The sequence below is a fragment of the Homo sapiens genome, chromosome 4 (assembly GCF_000001405.40).
Source record: "Homo sapiens chromosome 4, GRCh38.p14 Primary Assembly".
In the NCBI taxonomy this organism is placed as follows: Eukaryota; Metazoa; Chordata; class Mammalia; order Primates; family Hominidae; genus Homo; species Homo sapiens.
In genome coordinates, this window is record NC_000004.12 from 168,489,999 (window position 1) to 168,507,911 (window position 17,913).

General features: G+C 38.5%; 1 protein-coding gene and 1 long non-coding RNA gene across 13 annotated transcripts in view; one reads left to right on the top strand and one right to left on the bottom strand.

Annotated features, from left to right (window-relative positions):
• Positions 1-17,913, bottom strand: part of LOC107986198 (uncharacterized) — a 44,091-nt gene that overhangs the window by 3,249 nt on the left and 22,929 nt on the right. Inside the window, exons 2-3 of the long non-coding RNA XR_001741448.3 lie at positions 2,668-2,887; positions 360-452 (exon numbers count right to left, since the gene is read on the bottom strand). This is a non-coding gene — a long non-coding RNA (uncharacterized LOC107986198). The remainder of the gene's footprint in view (positions 1-359; positions 453-2,667; positions 2,888-17,913) is intronic.
• Positions 7,054-17,913, top strand: part of PALLD (palladin, cytoskeletal associated protein) — a 431,390-nt gene continuing 420,530 nt past the window's right edge. For 9 of the 12 annotated variants that reach the window (XM_011531768.3, XM_011531769.3, XM_011531771.3 and 6 more), the window contains exons 1-2: positions 7,054-7,196; positions 17,362-17,700. In XM_011531768.3, the coding sequence (XP_011530070.1) occupies positions 17,579-17,700 (122 nt within the window). In that variant the 5' untranslated portion in view covers positions 7,054-7,196; positions 17,362-17,578. The remainder of the gene's footprint in view (positions 7,197-17,361; positions 17,701-17,913) is intronic. The other 3 variants (NM_001166108.2, NM_016081.4, XM_047449864.1) reach the window with 1 other exon arrangement.

The window sequence follows — 17,913 nt, forward strand, 5'->3', positions numbered from 1 at the left end:
ATTCAAAATTTCTTTAATTGATTATTCTCTATTTTATACCCAAAGACTTAAAAAAATTTTACTCTCTAGTGGATTAAACAATTAAGAAAGGTTTTTTTAAGATTAAATGGACTTCAGGCTCATGACCGGAATTTTTTTTTTTTTTTTTTTTTTTTCCTTTTTGAGAAATGGAGTCTTATTATGTTACCCAGGCTGGCCTCAAAGTCCTGGGCTCAAGGGATCCTCCTGCCTCATTCTCCCGCATAGCTGGGACTACAGACAGGTACCACTGAGCACAGCAATTTGATGATAAATATAATGCAAATACATACAAATTTCAAACACAAAAAGAAAAAAATGAAGGTTTCCTTTAATCTTACCTTCCGGATATAATAACTAGTATACGATGTGTTTGTTTCACTTAATGCTATATTTGGGATAGCTTATTTCTGTATCACCTCTTGTTTTAGTACCTTAGAAAACACATTTAAAAATCATAATTATTGATAGGGAAAAGTATAAAGAGTAAGAAACAGTAACAGTCAAGATAATCTCTGATGCCATTTTTTTTCTCTGATGCCATTTTTAAAATAACAATACAGCATGTATGTTGGAGTCAACATACAACCCTATTTGCATCCTAGTCAGAATGCATTTTCTCACCAAAATTAACCTATCATCTTCGAGGAAAACTTCAAAATGTTTTATTCATATGTCAGGAAAGAGAGAGAAATTATAAAAATAGATATAAGTATACATACAAATATGATGATGCTCTAACACACTCTCATGTATACTCTTTTTATCCTAAATCTATCTTGAATATATTTCTATGACTACATACATATTTATCCATTCCACTATGATTTTTTTTCCAATTCATGTGAGCCAAAAGAACTTCAATTTGCTGAATGAAGTGAAATAGGAATCCAGTTTTTTAATAATGAGGGGGAAGTCAGTGGAACTGAACAAGGCCAAGAAATAAATCAAAACGTATGTAGTTATTTAATATATGCTGCCAATTCAAAATAATGTTCTTTCCATACAAGAATAAAATATGTCATTTTATTCATCCATTCCTCCATTCCTTGTATCGCCATAAGAAATCTGTTAGTACTCCAGTAGCAATGAAGGGCTACTCCTCTGCCCTTAGCGTTCCTTTTCACACAATCTTCCTAGATATTTTGCCATGCTAATTTGTCTAGGTAAATTTTGTGTCAGTTTTTCTAAGTCCAGCAAAAAATGCTACTTTATTTTTTATTTTTGTTTTTATTTTTTAGAAAGAAGACTTTGCTCTGCCACCCAGAATGGAGTGTGCAGTGGCACAATCATGGCTCACTGCAGCCTGAAACTCTTGGGCTCAAGCGATCCTCCCGCCTCAGCCTCCCAAGTGGCTGAGACTACAGGAACACACCACCACACCTGGCTAAATTTTTTAATTTTTCTAGAGACAAGGTCTCACTATATTGCCCAGGCTGATCTTGAACTCCTGGCCTCAAGCAATTCTCCTTCCTCAGCCTCCTAAAGTGTTGGGATTACAAGTGTGAACCGCTGTACCTGGCAAAAATGCTATTTTAATTGAGATTATATGACAGTTGTAGATTATTTTGATAAAGAACTGATTACATTACAAAATCAATTCTTCCTATATAAGAACGGGATATAGCATTCCATTTATTTCGTTATTTCATTCCTTTCTCTTCTTTAGTATACATTAAAACCTGCATATTAGTTGTTAGTATTCCTTGGTGTTTTATCTCATTACTATATATTGCATCATATGTGTGTATGGATAAATGTGTGTATGTATACACAGTCACACATGCACCTATACCTTAAAATATAATGTTAAAGTAGAACCATTCTCTTCACTTCTCACAAAAGTTTTTTTTTTCCATTGGGACTAGACATTGAATTTTGTCTGAAGACTCACTAACAATATATGGAGCTGACCATATGGCTTTTTTCTTTTGAGTTTCTTTTGAAGAATTAAATACTAGAAGTTTGGATGTTAAGCCAACTTTTATGACTTGGCTAAAACCCAATTGTCCAAAGTGTATTATTCTTTTAATACATTGTTGGCTTTTATTTATTACTATTTTTTTCAAATTTTATTTTACTATTCAAAACACCAATGTGCACTCGTCTGTCTTCATTCAATTTTATATTACTGAATAATGACATAATGATAAAAGGATAATATAATGATATAATGATGTTATTCTGTCTTTGTAAATTCCAAGACTTATTTTATTTGCTTAAATTCAATAAAATCTGCTTTTGAAATTAATTTTACTGGCTTTTTCACCCTAAATAATACTTGTCTCTACATTTGGACCCTTGTAAGGCAGATAGAAAATGAGATTATTTCTAAGGATCATAATAGCTAACTGTACCCCAATACTCGTATACAGACATAGATTTTGTTTCCAGACTATCTCAATTCTACTTCTATTACCTATCATCATAAGATTATGTTTCTCTCTTCATTTTTGTGCATATGCACAAGTTAGCAAACATCCCAAGTAGCAGAAACATGTGACCAAAAGATCACCCACAGGCTCAGGCTACATTTATGCAGATTTAATCACAGTTCATAAAATCGAGCTCATGAGGGACAAATCTGGAGTTCCCTGCTACGTACAGATAGATATACCAGTTTAATCAGACAAGTCTTTGGGGCCATACCTGATTCTGTGACATGTACACAAGCCAGATACAAAGTATGAGGAAGAAGTAGAAAGACTGGTCGTGGCTTGAAAGACACTTGTTCCCAGGATCCCCAGATGGACCATTGGGACAATTCTGCAAGTGTTTCATGCCTCCAATTTTAGTGTGTTCCTTGATCAGCCTTCTCAATTACCATTTTCTCACATGCTCCGTGATCCTTGTTTCCTGGTGGTTGACGCTGGGAATGAAGAGAGGAATAAAAGTGAAAAGGGAGTAAGTAGACTTGTTTCTTGAAACTTAGGATTTTCAAACTTCCTGGATCGTAAGAAAAAGAAAACGTCCAAGGGGGATGAATGAGCAAGTCTGCTGCATTCCTTTGCACACCCCTTTCATCAAGGAAACTTTGAATACCTTTACTTTTTCTATTGGCTGCCCAAGAGTTTGTATCTCCTAAAACAAAGTTTGTAAACCAGTATCCTCGATTGACCTGAACCTGGGAGGCAGACTGATAGATAATCTCAAAACAGAGTGATCTACAGCCTGGAAATTCTGGTGAAGAAGAAAAATCAGTGTATGAGAGAGCTAGAGGAAGAAAGTTTACAGTCAAATAACATGTTTGAACGTGCAGTTGTGAAAACAGAGCATGCCCCAATGTGGCTATAGGACTGATGGGTTAAAGGGAATAGAGGTGTGGTAGCCAACTGCCAAGATGACCACCAATGCATTGTCTTGCCAACTGGTTTTTACGCCTCTATGCAGTCTCCTCCCACAGTGGATACTGCCAATTTGTATAACTAAAGGATACTGCGGGAAAGACGAAATATGACCTCCAAGGCTGGATCATAAAAGATATAATGGGGCCGGGCGCGGTGGCTCACACCTGTAATCCCAAAACTATGGGAGGCTGAGGTGGGTGGATCACCTGAGGTCAGGAGTTTGTGACCAGCCTGGCCAACATGGTGAAACCCCATCTCTACTAAAAATACAAAAAAATATCTGGGCGTGGTGGTGGGCACCTGTAATCCCAGCTACTTGGGAGGCTGAGGCAGGAGAATCACTTGAACCCAGGAGGTGGAGGTTGCAGTGAGCTGAGGTCATGCCACTGCACTCCAGCAACAAGAGCAAAACTCCACTTTAAAAAAAAAGACATTGTGGCACAATCCAGCTGCCATGAAGCTAGGAAACTCAGGCAGTGACACAGAGAAGTCAACAGGGTTCCAGCCAATAACAGGACTAACTTTCCAGGCACGTGAGTGAGCTGCCTTGGAAGCAGATTTTCCAGCCCCAGCCATGCTTCCACCTGAAAGAAGCTGGGGCAACATCTTCAGTACTATCTCATGATACCCTGATCTGGAATTACCCAGCTAAGACTAATGGATTCCTGACACATAGAAACTGTGTGAAATAACAAATATATATTGTTTTAAGACATTAATTTTTGCAGTAATTTGTTATGAAGCAGTAGATAAGTTATATCTGATTTTGGAGGTGGAGGAGGTCTGTTTGTGTGATCTGTAAGAGGAACAGAGATGAAGATTCATAGAGAAAAGCAGGTCCAAAACCAATATGCCAACATATAGAATAGACAAATGGGTGCTGAGTCACCCAGAATAATGGCAGGGTGTGGAGTGAAGAAGAGAACCAAGAGCCCAACTAGATCCAAAGTCTTAATTTTAAAAAGTGGGATGGAGGATGGTTGATGCAAATATAAGTGCTTCAAAAGAGCAGGAATTTCTATAAGAAGAAGTAATCATTTGAAAGCTGAACTGGAGCCCCATGAAGGAGCCACAGACTCCCTTTCCCAACCTTCGTGCACACAGAAATGGGCTCTGGTGGAAAATATGAAAGTGCATGAGAAATGATATTACTGTCCACACACTAATCTCATCCTTAATATCAACTGGACCTTGCTATACTAACTTAAGAGTGTTGATCAAACTTTCTAAATTTTTTTGATGCCAATTTTCTAAGGAAAAGAACTTCTTATAAGATTTTTAAAACAAGCTTGGTTTGCTGCACTATTTGCAATACACACACAAAAAGGTCACATTTCTGTGTCCTTTTGAGTAAAGTCATATCCATCTTTGAAGCCTCTCTCAGGACCACAAGCTGTTTTTTTTTCTTTTTTCTTCTTATGGCTTCATCACTTCACTGGTGTTATACCAGGATTTAGGAACCAAGCAATCCAAAGAAATGTGGGAGAGGCCTCGTCTGGCCAGTAGTCCAACATGATTGCCTCTGGAATTCACCATGAGACTCACAGTTCACCAGAAGGCAGAGGCAAAAATCAGAGTTGCCAATTAAAATTATTTCTAAAGATGGGTTCACTGCTTCCTATTCCCAAGCCTTTCTGAGACTCCATGGGGTGAATCACTTGCTTCTTTTCTGTATCTCCTCCTGCAGGCATTTAAGCTTTGTAATTTAGTTACATGCATACTTATATTTATCTCTTTCCAACAATTTTGTTCATTTCTGATATCTTCTATTGTCTTCCCTCCCAATTTCTGCCCTTTTCAGTTTTTACTATTATCTTGTGGTTTTAGGAAAAAGCAGATATAAATATGTGTTTAAGCAATGCTATGGTTTGAAGGTTTTTGTCCCCTTCAAAATTTTTGTTGATTCCTAATCCCCTATGCAACAGTATCAGGAGGTGTAACGTTTAGAAGGTGATTCAGGAGGACTCCTCATGAATGGGATTTGATGCCCTTAGGGCTTGATGGAGGAAGTTTGACCCCCTCTTGCCCTTCCACCTTCTGCCATGTGAGGACACAGTGCTCAAGGCATCACTGTGGAAGCAGAGACAGGAACTTCACCAGACAACAAACCTGCTGGCACCTTGATCTTAGACTTCCCAGCCTCCAGAACTATGAGAAATCAATTTCTGTTCTTTGTAAATTACCCAGTCTGTGGCATTTTGTTATAATGACACAAACTAAGACAATCAATCAGAGTTATATTTCCTTGTAAGTATAAATTTTATTTTTTTATTTTTATTTTTATTTTTTTTAAGAAGGAGTCTCGCTCTGTCACCCAGGCTGGAGTGCAGTGATGGGATCTCGGCTCACTGCAAGCTCCGCCTCCCGGGTTCACACCATTCTCCTGCCTCAGCCTCCCAAGTGGCTGGGACTACAGGCACCCGCCACCACGCCCAGCTAATTTTTTGTATTTTTAGTAGAGAGGGGGTTTCACTGTGTTAGCCAGGATGGTCTCAATCTCCTGACCTCATGATCCACCCACCTCGGCCTCCCAAAGTACTGCAATTACAGGCATAAGCCACCACGCCCAGCCGTAAGTATAAATTTTAAAATCACTTCTTAATTAATATAATAGATGAAATGACCCACAGAAGTATCCACTCACAGAAAGGACCATTTCTAAAGGACCAGTTTGGCCTATAAAGAAAATACAATAGCAGACCTTCACAAATTTTCTAACATCAGAAAAGAAAAAATATTTAGATATTAAACTGAATCAAATGTGATGGTCTTACCCAGACAAAGGAAGACTCAGCACCCCATTTCCAAGTTAACTGGGAGCTTTTGTGTTGCTCTTTTTGCCCCCCTTATATTTGATTCTGCTACCTGACCTTTAAACAGAAAAGCTTTCTCTTCTTGCTATCTATGTTTGTTATTTAAAAGATCAAAATATTAAACTCTTGCTATATCTATTTGTCATTTGAAAGATCAAAATATTAAATGATTGTGAAACATTTTTTGCAACTGTAAGAGGGTTGATACTTTTCCTGAATATTATTCATTCAACATTCATTTATTTCTTTGACAAATATTTAAGAGATGCTCATGATGTCCTAGGCATTGAGCTAAGAACTCAATGTTGCAATGTGGATAAGATCCAGTCCCTGTGTGTTCATACTTATTTAATACTATTATAGACAAGGCCTTTAATACATACCATAGTCATATATCAATTTTTAATTAGCAATATGAAATAAGAGAACAATGGGACTTTCCACTCAATTTGACAGGTGGCTAAATTTTCAGTTACTGAATTTACTATTTTAGGGTAATCTAGCACATGACCAAAATTTAAATGCACAGAACAGAAGATCAGAGTAAGAAGAGCTTCCATTTGGATTATCACTTTTTCTACTTGGAGTCACATACTGTACTTTAAATTGATTAAGAACATGTTAAAGGTCCAGGTGGTGATTTCCAGCTACAAGTCCAAAGTATAGAAGAATGTGTTTAAATCCTACGTTTATCAGATCCATAAATATAGTTCCTTCTATGTTAAGTGGCTTTATTTCTAAGAACCCAGCCCTCGGTCCTGGGGGTGCTTCCCAGCCCGCTGCTGGAATTCCTGATCGTGGCAGTCTGCTGAAACATGAGCTCAGTTACCAAATATAGCTGAGTGGAGTAAGAGGACAGATGAGAGTCTGAGGCCACAGTTGCCTCAAAGTGACCACGGACCAGGCAGTCTCTAATGAATAGGCAAGGCCACAACCTCCATTCTCCCAGAAAAGAAGAAATGCTCATCTGAAATTCATCACCTCTCTGGAGTCTTCAAACTGACCAAGCATTGAAAAGGTCTGTAAGGTGTATCTTAATATACTAACTAGTAGGGCAACATTTTAAGGACTTAAAAAAAAAAAAACTAAAAATACAAAAGTTTTTCTGAAGATATGATACTATTTACAAGATACCTTAATTATTCTTTTGCTTGGAGAGGAAACGTAATGAGAATGTTACGGTTTTGCCAAAAACAGATAATACGTAAGATTTGCCTGCCCACTTCATCTCTGCCTTTGCTGTCAGAGAATTACACTTTCTGTTATAAGCTTAAGCATGCTAAGATGGTGCTATCAATTCCAAAAGGATTAAATGTATTTATGGAGCCAGCTTTTGTCAAGATCGTGTATGTGTTATGTTTCACAGAAAAGGAAAACGCAGCTTTCTAGACCCTCACCCATATTTAAGCTAGATAAGTGATGATGGCTTAAAGTGATAGACCTTAGATTTCAGTAACATTATAAATTGTTAATTACACTTTCAAAAGATTCTAAAAGTAACTCACTGGACATAATTAAATGAGTTGGGATAGTAACAGCAGGTATTTTAAATTATATTCATGCATAAAATTTACATACATATTTTTAATAAGATAACGCTTACTAAGGGAAACCACAGTGCAATCTCGAGTCCAGTCAAGTTTAAACATCACAGAATAATTTTTATCATGTTGTTTTAAGTTGCACATGAAATTGTCTTGAATCCAATATAGGAGGTTGACATAAAATGATTTCAGGCTCATATTACTTATTAACATTTGCTAAAAATACTAATTGCCTTCTAGTATGAATAATGTGGTGACATATAAAGCCATTTCTTGGCAATATAAAACTATTACAAATCTATTCAATCACATATATGCAGAAATTAAATCCTCATTTCATGATAAATGTGCCTTCCAATGTTTTTTCTCACAGAAAGAACTTGAATACTCACCTCAATTATTCAGATTTTTTTTTCAGATTTTTAAAATCAAAGTCTCTTTGACAAGTTATTGCTAACAGCAGAAAAGGCCGATGAGGTTTATCTGGCCACTAACTGCCCTGTAAATACATGATTACACATTCCTAGAATATAAATTAGTCCTCTGGCATCCTAGAATCTGGTATGGATTAGGGTCTGTATCCCAGGGGTTCTGTGTCAGCTCTTCCTCTGGGTTTCTCTGTTATTGCTAGAGCTGAATATTAAAACTGGCCTTATAGCATATTTCACAATAGAATGAGGATCTGGATTGCACTGGACAAGTACAATCACTTTGACCTCCTTACCTCATTTTTTAAAAATGTAGAGGGCAATCATTATTCAGGTTTAAAAATAAATATGACAAGTTCTTTAAGAGATACCAAGTGGAATCTGCAAGGCCCAGACAAGAGCTCCACTTCTTAAACAATATGTGTGTGGAGGCTGTCAAAGGGTATTGCAATTACTGAGCTCCAGTTAGAAATTCAGGCCATCTAGAGTTAATGACTGTGTCCCGGTGAAATTACAGCAAAGAAAACAAAGATTGAACAAAGTATCTTCGACTAAAATTTCTAACTGTTAAATCATATTAGAGAATATAGAAGCAAATTTGGTAAATAGGTTTTGAATTTAAGTGAGAAGAATAAAGCCCTGAATTGGATAATGGTAATGGAAATGGATAATTCAGAAGTAAAATCTAAATATTTGCAATGGACTCAGTATGGTGAATAAAGTTGATAAGATGAACAGGACATGGGATAACTTCAAAAACTCTGTAAAGTATCTTATTTGGCTGTTTCTGCATTAAATGAGCTATTAGATTATGTCCTTGAAATTGAGATTAAATAAGCTGTTTAAAGAGATATTTAAAACTGTAGGATAAATATATCTGCCTGCATTGACAATTTAATAATTAGAAAGGAAAATAATCCATGTGTATTTATTAAGAAATAAATTATAAAATTGTAGTGCATTTTCTGCATCAAACATAAAATTTCATAAAATTTTCGTGTTTGACTTTTGCCCTAAAGGACCCTTTGTAGCAAAAAAAAAAAAAAAAAAAAAAAAAAGGAAGGAAGAAAGAAAGGGAGACGGGGAAGAAGGAAGGGAGAAGGGAGGGAGGAAGGGAGGGAGGATGGGAGGGAGGATGGGAGGGAGGATGGGAGGGAGGAAGGGAGGGAGACATGGAAGAAGGGGGAAGGGAGGCAGAAGGGAGGGAGGGGGGAGGGAGGAAGGGAGGGACTTTATTGATTTAGTCTAGGGGGGTTGCCTGTGATTCTGAAGCATGAAAATTAAGTGTTAAAGCTTTTCTAACTTTGGTTTTCATAGTTTAGGTTTTATTAAAAGATATTTCAATATCTAATATTTGTATCAATGGTTTGCATTACTTTTTTAGTAATTGCTTAAATATGAAAATAAAACTGCTAAACCTAAAATTAAAAATCACTTATAACTTTTTTTCAAAAATTACAAAATAAGCAACAAAAGATCCCCCTGCATGTCCCACCTTTCAACTCCTACCCCTGCCTAAATCCCCCCACAGAGGTCAGTGTTGATTGTTTGGTGTATGTTATTCCAACCATTTTCATATATTTATTCCTATCTATGTATACATTTTTAAATGACTATGGGAATTTAGCTATTCCACCTGGACTCTCTAAAGAATCTGCTGAATGTGGTACATGGTATTAAGTGATCCTTACTGCCTGTCAATGTTTTTCTAACATCAAACTTTTTCTTTCAAAATTGTAGCAGTTCTTCATCGACTCAAAGTATTTCACAAACAGACTTCAAAAGTTTTCCCCTTATCTAAATTTTTAAAGTAATTTCCTATAATATCTCCAATGAGAGAAGAAAACTTTGCAGTTAAATGCAGGCTTCCACCCTGAGTCTGCCACTTTCTGATGGCTCAGGTTGGGCCAAATAATTGAAACTTTTTCTGCTGCAGTTGTGGGTAATACAAACAATAAAATAGAAAAATAACATCTACTACATGGATTGTTCTGAGGATCAAACTGTTCACTTTTGAAAGCAGGTAACTTCCAAGCTGTTATGTAGGAACAACTTGCATTGTCACTGAATTCTTTCTACTTACTAGACTCTGCTCTTTCTCATGTATATTCCTTGTCTTCCCCAAGTTCCTCCACGTCAAAGAAATCTGTTGTAATTTCAACAGTCAATAGTGCCTTGATTCATGGGGATCATGCCAGGGGGTGGTCCCATAAGTCTTGTTTGTTTGTTTTTTGAGTCAGGGTCTCACTCTTTTGCCCAAGCTGGAATGCAGTGACCTGATCATCGCTCACTGCAGCCTAGAACTCTTGGACTCAGACAATCCTCCCACCTCAGCCTCTGGAGTAGCTGGGGCTACAGGCACACACCATCACACTCAGCTAAGTTTTTGGGTTTTTTTTTGTATTTTTGTAGAGATGAAATCTAACTATGTTGCCCAGGCTGGTATTGAACTCCTGGGCTCAAGCGATCTTCCTGCCTCAGCCTCCAACAGTGCTGGGAGTACAGATGTGAGCCACCATGCCCAGCCCCCTATAAATATTTCTTAACTGACAACATAGAGGATTCTCCCAAATATCATAGAGCTGGCTTTCAGGTAATCTATCCCCAAAAGTCAGCAACTTTAAAGGCAAATGGTAGTCATAATTTTTAAATTTGTCTATTTTTTCTATCATTTGTATATTCATATATGAATGTGAACCATATACATTTATGCCTATAGTACATATTCAGGATCTAAAAAATAAATGTTTTGCCAAATATTAGGATAGTCATGCCAAGATAAGATTCACAAAATTACTTATGTCAAATGTGTAATATACATACCAATGAAAACTTATTTATATGTTCTATATTTTATAGTATACCATGAATCTAACAGAATTCAGATGACACTAACTTAGGGAGAAGTTGCGAACCATAAAATTACAATTAAAATTAATCTATAAATTAAGTGACATAAAATTCCTTAAGAAAGAATGAAATAGCCAGGCCTGGTGGCTTGTGCCTGTAATCCCAGCAACTCAGGAGCCTGAGGCAGGAGGATTGCAGAGGCCAAGAGTTCAAGACAATACTGGGCAATGAAAGGAGACCCTATCTCTACAGAAAATAAAAAAGAATTAGCAGGACTTGGTGACATGCACCTGTAGTCCCAGCTACTTGGGAAGCTAAAGTAAAAGGATCCTTTGAGCCCACTAGATCAAGGTTGCAGTGAGCTATGATCACACCATCGCACTACTACAGCAGGGGCAAAATTGAAAAGAAAGGAAAAGAGAAGAAGAAGAATGAGATATGCCCAGGGAGTTAACAAAATAGGTCACCGTGGACATTTACCTTTGAAAGCAATATTTGCTTAGGATAAGCCAAGATGCTTATAAGGATATAAGCTGCCTGTTGACAATTCAAGGTTGATAGGATTCTGTAATGACTCACAATATTTGCCAACCCTCCCAAACCTTTGCTTCACCAAATGTTTGCTTAAGATGAAGAGTTTGGCATTAGGCACATGTTGAAATTCACCTGGGAGAATTTCCCTTCAGAGCGCCATGAGGTGACATGGCAGCTGCCCCCATGGTACACTCTGAAGGAACCTAAAGGACCATTGACCTGAGCATGTTCTCCTCTTGTGACTTTCACCACCCTCCCCGCCAAGGGTGTGCCCCCCAAAACAACAGTGGTCTGTAGATGTGAACATTAACATGCGAATGTGCACTTCATTTTATCTTATATGTCTGCACCCTAACAACTTTCAAAGCTAGTTTGAGGCTGTATGCAATAAAAGCATAGTACAATTGCCCAAAATCAATTAAGAAAATGCAGATCAAACCAAGTATAAAAAGCTTTGAACTTGAAATGTTTTCTCAATTTACTACCTTTGTCCTTTCTCTTCTTAGAATCTTAACTCCCTAGGACAGAGAATCTATCTTCTTTCCAGCTATGTCCCTGGCCTATGAAAGAGGTGCCTAGCACATAGTAGGCACTCAATAAATAAATGCTGACTGAATAAAACAATGAGAAAAGTAAGCAAAATAAATTTTTTTTTTAGCTAAAAACATCTGAATTTCTATGACTGGAAATTTAACCCTGAGCTTGCTAGTATCCGTGTGAAAGAGTCATCAAAGTTTACAGAATTCTTTGTCTAACAGAATTGCCAGAAAATAGAATAAATGCTTTTCTAGTTCCAAATTTTTTCATGAGAAACTTTCTTTGAGGGTAATGAGAAAGACTGACATCCACGTCTTTATAGATACTTTTTTTTAACACAATGTCTGACCTATGACTGATTTTGCTTTAGCGAAATGAGCAGGTAAAGTGTATTTTATATGTAGACACAAACAGTTATGTGTTATATGTATACACTAACATTTAGCACTGATTACTCTATCAAGTTTTTACCAGAAAACAGAGCCCGGGACACAAGCAACAGTTGATAAAACAGAAGAAAAACCTAGTTTAAGAGCAGAATAATGTTTAGCTGCACTCAGTGGCTCACATCTGTAATCCCAGAACTTTGGGAGGCCAAGGCAGGAGGAGCCCTTGAGTCCAGGAGTTTGAGACTGGCATAGGCGAAAAAGGGAGACCTCGTTTCTACAAAAATATATTTTAAAATTTAGCCAGGCCTGACGATGCACACGCGTAGTTCTAGCTACTCAGGAGGATGAGGCAGGAGGATCCCTTGAGCCCAGGAATTCAAGGCTACAGTGAGCTATGATCATGCCATTGCAGTCCAGGCCGGGAGACAGAATGAGACCCTCACTCAAAAGAGCAGAATAACACTTAGCTGAAGAGAGCATGTCCCAGAGAAATGTCGCAGCAGGTTCTGGGAGGCTGAAAGCAAATCAGTCATCAGAACATTTCCTGCCTCGTGCCTTTGTTCACATGTGTGTCAAATCCTATCCAGGGCTCAAACCACATTTCAAACACCCGGTATTTCTTAGCTTTTCTCCATCAGCTGCTGTAACCCAGTGTGCTAAGCATTTGCCATACAAAGACGCCAGTCACAGCTCCTGCTTCCATTGGGCTCACAGTTGAATGAGGAAAGCATTCTCTAAACAAATACTTGTAATTTAATATGATGACTGCTGTGAGAAACGCAATGCAAAGTAACATGCTTGGAAGAAGAAGCAAATTATATTGATTGGGGAACTGTTAGAAAGCACCAAAAAGTGGTAAAATTTAAGAAAGTTTTCAAGGATGAACCGGAGTTTGAAAAACAGAAAGAGGGCTGGATGCAGTGGCTCATGCCTGTAATCCCAGCACTTTGGGAGGCCAAGGCGGGTGGATGACAAGGTCAAGAGATCGAGACCATCCTGCTAACAAGGGGAAACCCTGTCTCTACTAAAAATACAAAAATTAGCCGGGCATGGTGGTGGGCGCCTGTAGTCCCAGCTACTCAGGAGGCTGAGGCAAGAGAATGGTGTGAACCTGGGAGGCGGAGGTTGCAGTGAGCCAAGATGGAGCCACTGCACTCCAGCCTGGGCAACAGAGCGAGACTCCATCTCAAAAAAAAAAAAAAAGAAAAAGAAAAAGAGAAAGGAAGCACATTTTAAGCAAAAGGAGCAGCAAGTGCAAAGGTGTGAAAACCAGAAAGAATCTGAATTGTTTGAGGAATGGTGAGTGGGCCAGGGAGGCCTGAGTGCATGTGTGTTGGTGATGACAGAGGGTGAGGCTGGAGCATTTCCATCAGCTCAGGCTGTCCACGGGTATGTTTAACCTGCACATCGTGCTTTGGAACTTTTCTCATCAGCCGGGGAGCATCATAGGAAAAAAATAAAAACCAAAAGAGTGACGTGACACAATTTGTACCTATGATCTCTCTTACCATTTTTATCCCTTACTGCAATTTGTTGAAACTATTTTAATAGAAATTATCACGCTCCTCCTTGTAACTGAGTTATTTTTTACTCTTGTCTAATCCCTCCTACTGGATTGTAAGATCATTTAAGGAGAATAACTACGCCTGCCTCATCTTTGTCCTCCTTGAAGCTTCTCTTGCACAACTAAGCAGTTGTTCCGTTGATTTCATGTTCAACTTACTATTCCAGGAAAGGGAAGTAGAAGAAAGGAAGCATGACTGTAAGATGGGCGAGGCCAAGGAAGAGTCATTTCCTCCATGGTGAAGAACATAATGCTACGCAACTTCAAGCAAATTAAAAAACAGTTGTGGTTGGCCAGGCATGGTGGCTCACACCTGTAATCCCAGCATTTTGGGAGGCTAAGGTGGGCAGATCACAAGGTCAGGAGTTCAAGACCAGCCTGGCCAATATGGTGAAACCCTGTCTCTACTAAAAATACAAAAATCAGCTGGGAGTGGTGGCAGGCACCTGTAGCCCCAGCTACTCGGGAGACTGAGGAAGGAGAATCTCTTGAACCCGGCAGGTGGATCTTGCAGTGAACTGAGATCATGCCACTGCACTCCAGCCTGGGCGACAAAGCAAGACTCCAACTCAAAAAAAAAAAAAAAATGGCTGTGGCTAATGAGCGTTTTAGGGAAAATGACAATTAAGCTAAACTGCTAAAGCTGGAGATGATGGATAAGACAAGGATGAGAAAAAGAAGAAGACAGAAGAATTTCTAGGAAATTCAGATTCCTTCTGAGAAAAGTGAGGAGGCAGGGGACAGGACAATTTAAAGATGCCAAAGAATCCTTTATTCTTCAAAATTTCAAAATCTTTCAATGCTACTTACTAAAGTAGAACCACTTTAATGGCGTTGGTGTTTACCTCATTTCCTCTTCACTCATTAACAGCAGTATTAGTGGGTCTTTTTAGTCTATTTCATCTTCTGTGTCTATCACACCGGCATAGAATTACCAAGAGCACTGTTTGACAGAAAACATGAAATCTCAGGCAAATGATGGAGATGTTTGTGATTGTGTTTCATTCCTTTTGATTTTGACCTTTTCATTTTGGAGTGCTGACTGACATGGAAATCTCTGAAGCACAATTTTCCAGTGAACTTGGCCCGCTTGGAAACCGCCCTTGTTCATCCTCATTGAATGAGCATTTTCCCTAGACCACGTGCATGTTCCCGCGGCAATAACTGGCTTGCAAATTAAGCCTGAACCAGATATGCCATAGAACTATTATTTTCTTTTTCAATGTGCAAGCAGTTTTAAAGCTACACCTAATCCTGACTACTGGATCCTGTCAGATGGCGCCTCTTTAAAACCAAAATATGAGTTAATAAGCAGGTGAGATAATCTGCCTCCAGCAAACACTCCCTACATTAAGAATTGAAAATGTTTTCATCATTCAGAAGTTTGCTTTAAGCTTTGTTATATAATGCTCCTTGTGAAGTTTTAAAATGTATCATATTATGTTCATTTGGAACTAAAAAGCAATTGAATTAATAGCAGAACTCTGATTTCTGATCCACAGTTTTGTTAGTTTGATACATTGCTTAGGATTCTCAATTATGAAAACTACAATGGTAAGATGGTAAAGTGCATAGAACATGAGCTCTGGAGTTATTCCCTGGGCTTAAACCTTGGTTCTCCCACTCAGATTTTCTGCCTCCATTTCCTCCTTTCTAAACCAGAGGCTGCTGTGAGGGTTTTAAATGAAATAATCTACATGATGACTCTGGGCACAATGCCCACCGCAGGGTAAGCAGTCCATTATTAGCCATTATCATTATCAATCATCGTGATCATTAATTGCCTTTATATGTGTTATATGAAGTCATTAGGTAGCTAATGTTCTATAGAAGGGGTTGGCAATTTTTTCCTGTAAAAGTGCAGGTAAATATTTTAGACTTCATGTGCCATATAGTCTCTGTTGCAACTACTCAACTCTGACATTGGTTCAAAAAAACAAAGACAATCTCTACATTCAAACTCCTACCCATGAATTCCAACCCAGCATATATGTCAAAGGCCACCTATTCCTTGACCATATTTTCAATGGCCTTGCCCACTTCCCTCCCATTTTACCTGCATGTCAAACTGGGATCATCTATCTCTGTACCTTCACCTGGATGGCTGAGCTCTGGTGGAGAGAATTGCACAATCACACAGATTAATGACACTATAAATACATCACATCTAACTTCAACCAGGCCCTCACCTCTACCCATAAATCCTTCTTACAAAACTTCCTTCCCCCTTTTTCTACAACAGCTATTTCAAATCATCTTCTGTCCTCATAAACCTCCAATGCACAGAAGTCTCAGTTTGGGAACTCTCCTTTCTTTCTATTACAAATTTTGCAGAGAATCTCATGTTTCTCTCTCTCTCCCTTTCTCTCTTACCGCCCCCCATGCCCCAACACACATACACCCTTTGTTACTTCTCTCCTTTAACAATGAAAGAACTGCCCCCTTCCTACTGGAAGCTGAACACCTCATACTCCGTTTGTCCTATAATAACTCATTTCTTCTTACATCTTTTGAGAGCTGACCTATAAATCATCCCCGCTTTTTTACATTTATTTTCAGCTTCTCCCTTCTTACTGCCTAATTTGGTTTGTATAAAACATGTTACAGCGCTCTATCCTAAAAATGAACAAACCTCACCAGAGTCTATACTTTTGTTCAACTACTACCTTCTGTCTCTCCTTCTTTCTATGATCTTTTCAAAACAAACCACCACACCTGTAATATTTTCTTTCTTTCCTTCTTTCCTTTCCTTCCATGTAGCAATCTGGCTTATATTTCTGTTGCATACACCGAAAGTGCTGTTGCAATGGTGCTAAATATTCCCAAGTTGCTAAAATCAAAAATCAAAAGGACATGTACTGCTTCCTGAGATATTTTCTTTCCCAGCTTCCACGATATCTAGCTTTTCTTGCTTCCCTGTGATTATTCGAAGGATTCTATCTTCTCCTTCTTTTTTCCTCGATGACCTTATGCATTCCCATGTCTTAAAGTGCCACCCATAGGCTAATAATCCCCAATCCAGCTCTGTTCTCCCTTCTCCTGGGCTCTAGATCAGCATCTCAAATCTCCTAGACATCAACACCAGAGTTACCAAAGGTCCCTCAACTGCAAAAGGCTCAAATCAAAATCAAGCTTAAAAAATAAAATAAAATAAAATAAAAAAACTTGTTCCTCCACTTGTAGCATGTAAGTTAATGGTACCAGTCATCTGGTTGTTGAGGTGAGAAACCTGTAACCCTGCCTCTGCATCACCTCTGCCTTTAATCAATTACCAAGTTCTTTCCTTTCTATCATCTATCTTATGGACCCTGGACCCACTGCTTCCCTGAATCACCAGCTCTCACTTCAGAGTCCAAGAAGGACACATCTAATCGCTGTCTAGGCCAAGTGCCAAGACTTGTGCCCAGTCTCCAAGCGGCTGGGAAAGAAAATACTTGGAGATTTCACATCCCATTACAAGTGAGTTCAGTTTCTCACTGAGCCTCAGAATATGAGGAATTCTCCAAAATGAAGACGTCCAGATGACAGCAACACCAAACGTGAAACCATGATAAATGTGTGCACCCCCTGGATTACTGCACAAGCCTTCTCACGGACCGCCCTACTGTCAGTCTTGTCTTCCTCTTTCCCTACCTCTGTCCCGGATCCAGACTGCAATCAGTTATCTCTCAAAAATGTAAGTCTGGTGATGTTTCTCAAGGACTTAACACTCTTCCTTGCCTACTGACTACCCATAACATAAAATGCAAGTTCTCTGCATGGCTCCAGGCCCTCTCTGACCTAACTCCTGCTTTCTAGCCTTATCTCTGGTTATTTTCCCATCTCCAGATAGATTTCTGTTTAGCTGAAATGCTTAGTAGAATTACCTGAGTCTGCCATGTGCTCTCTG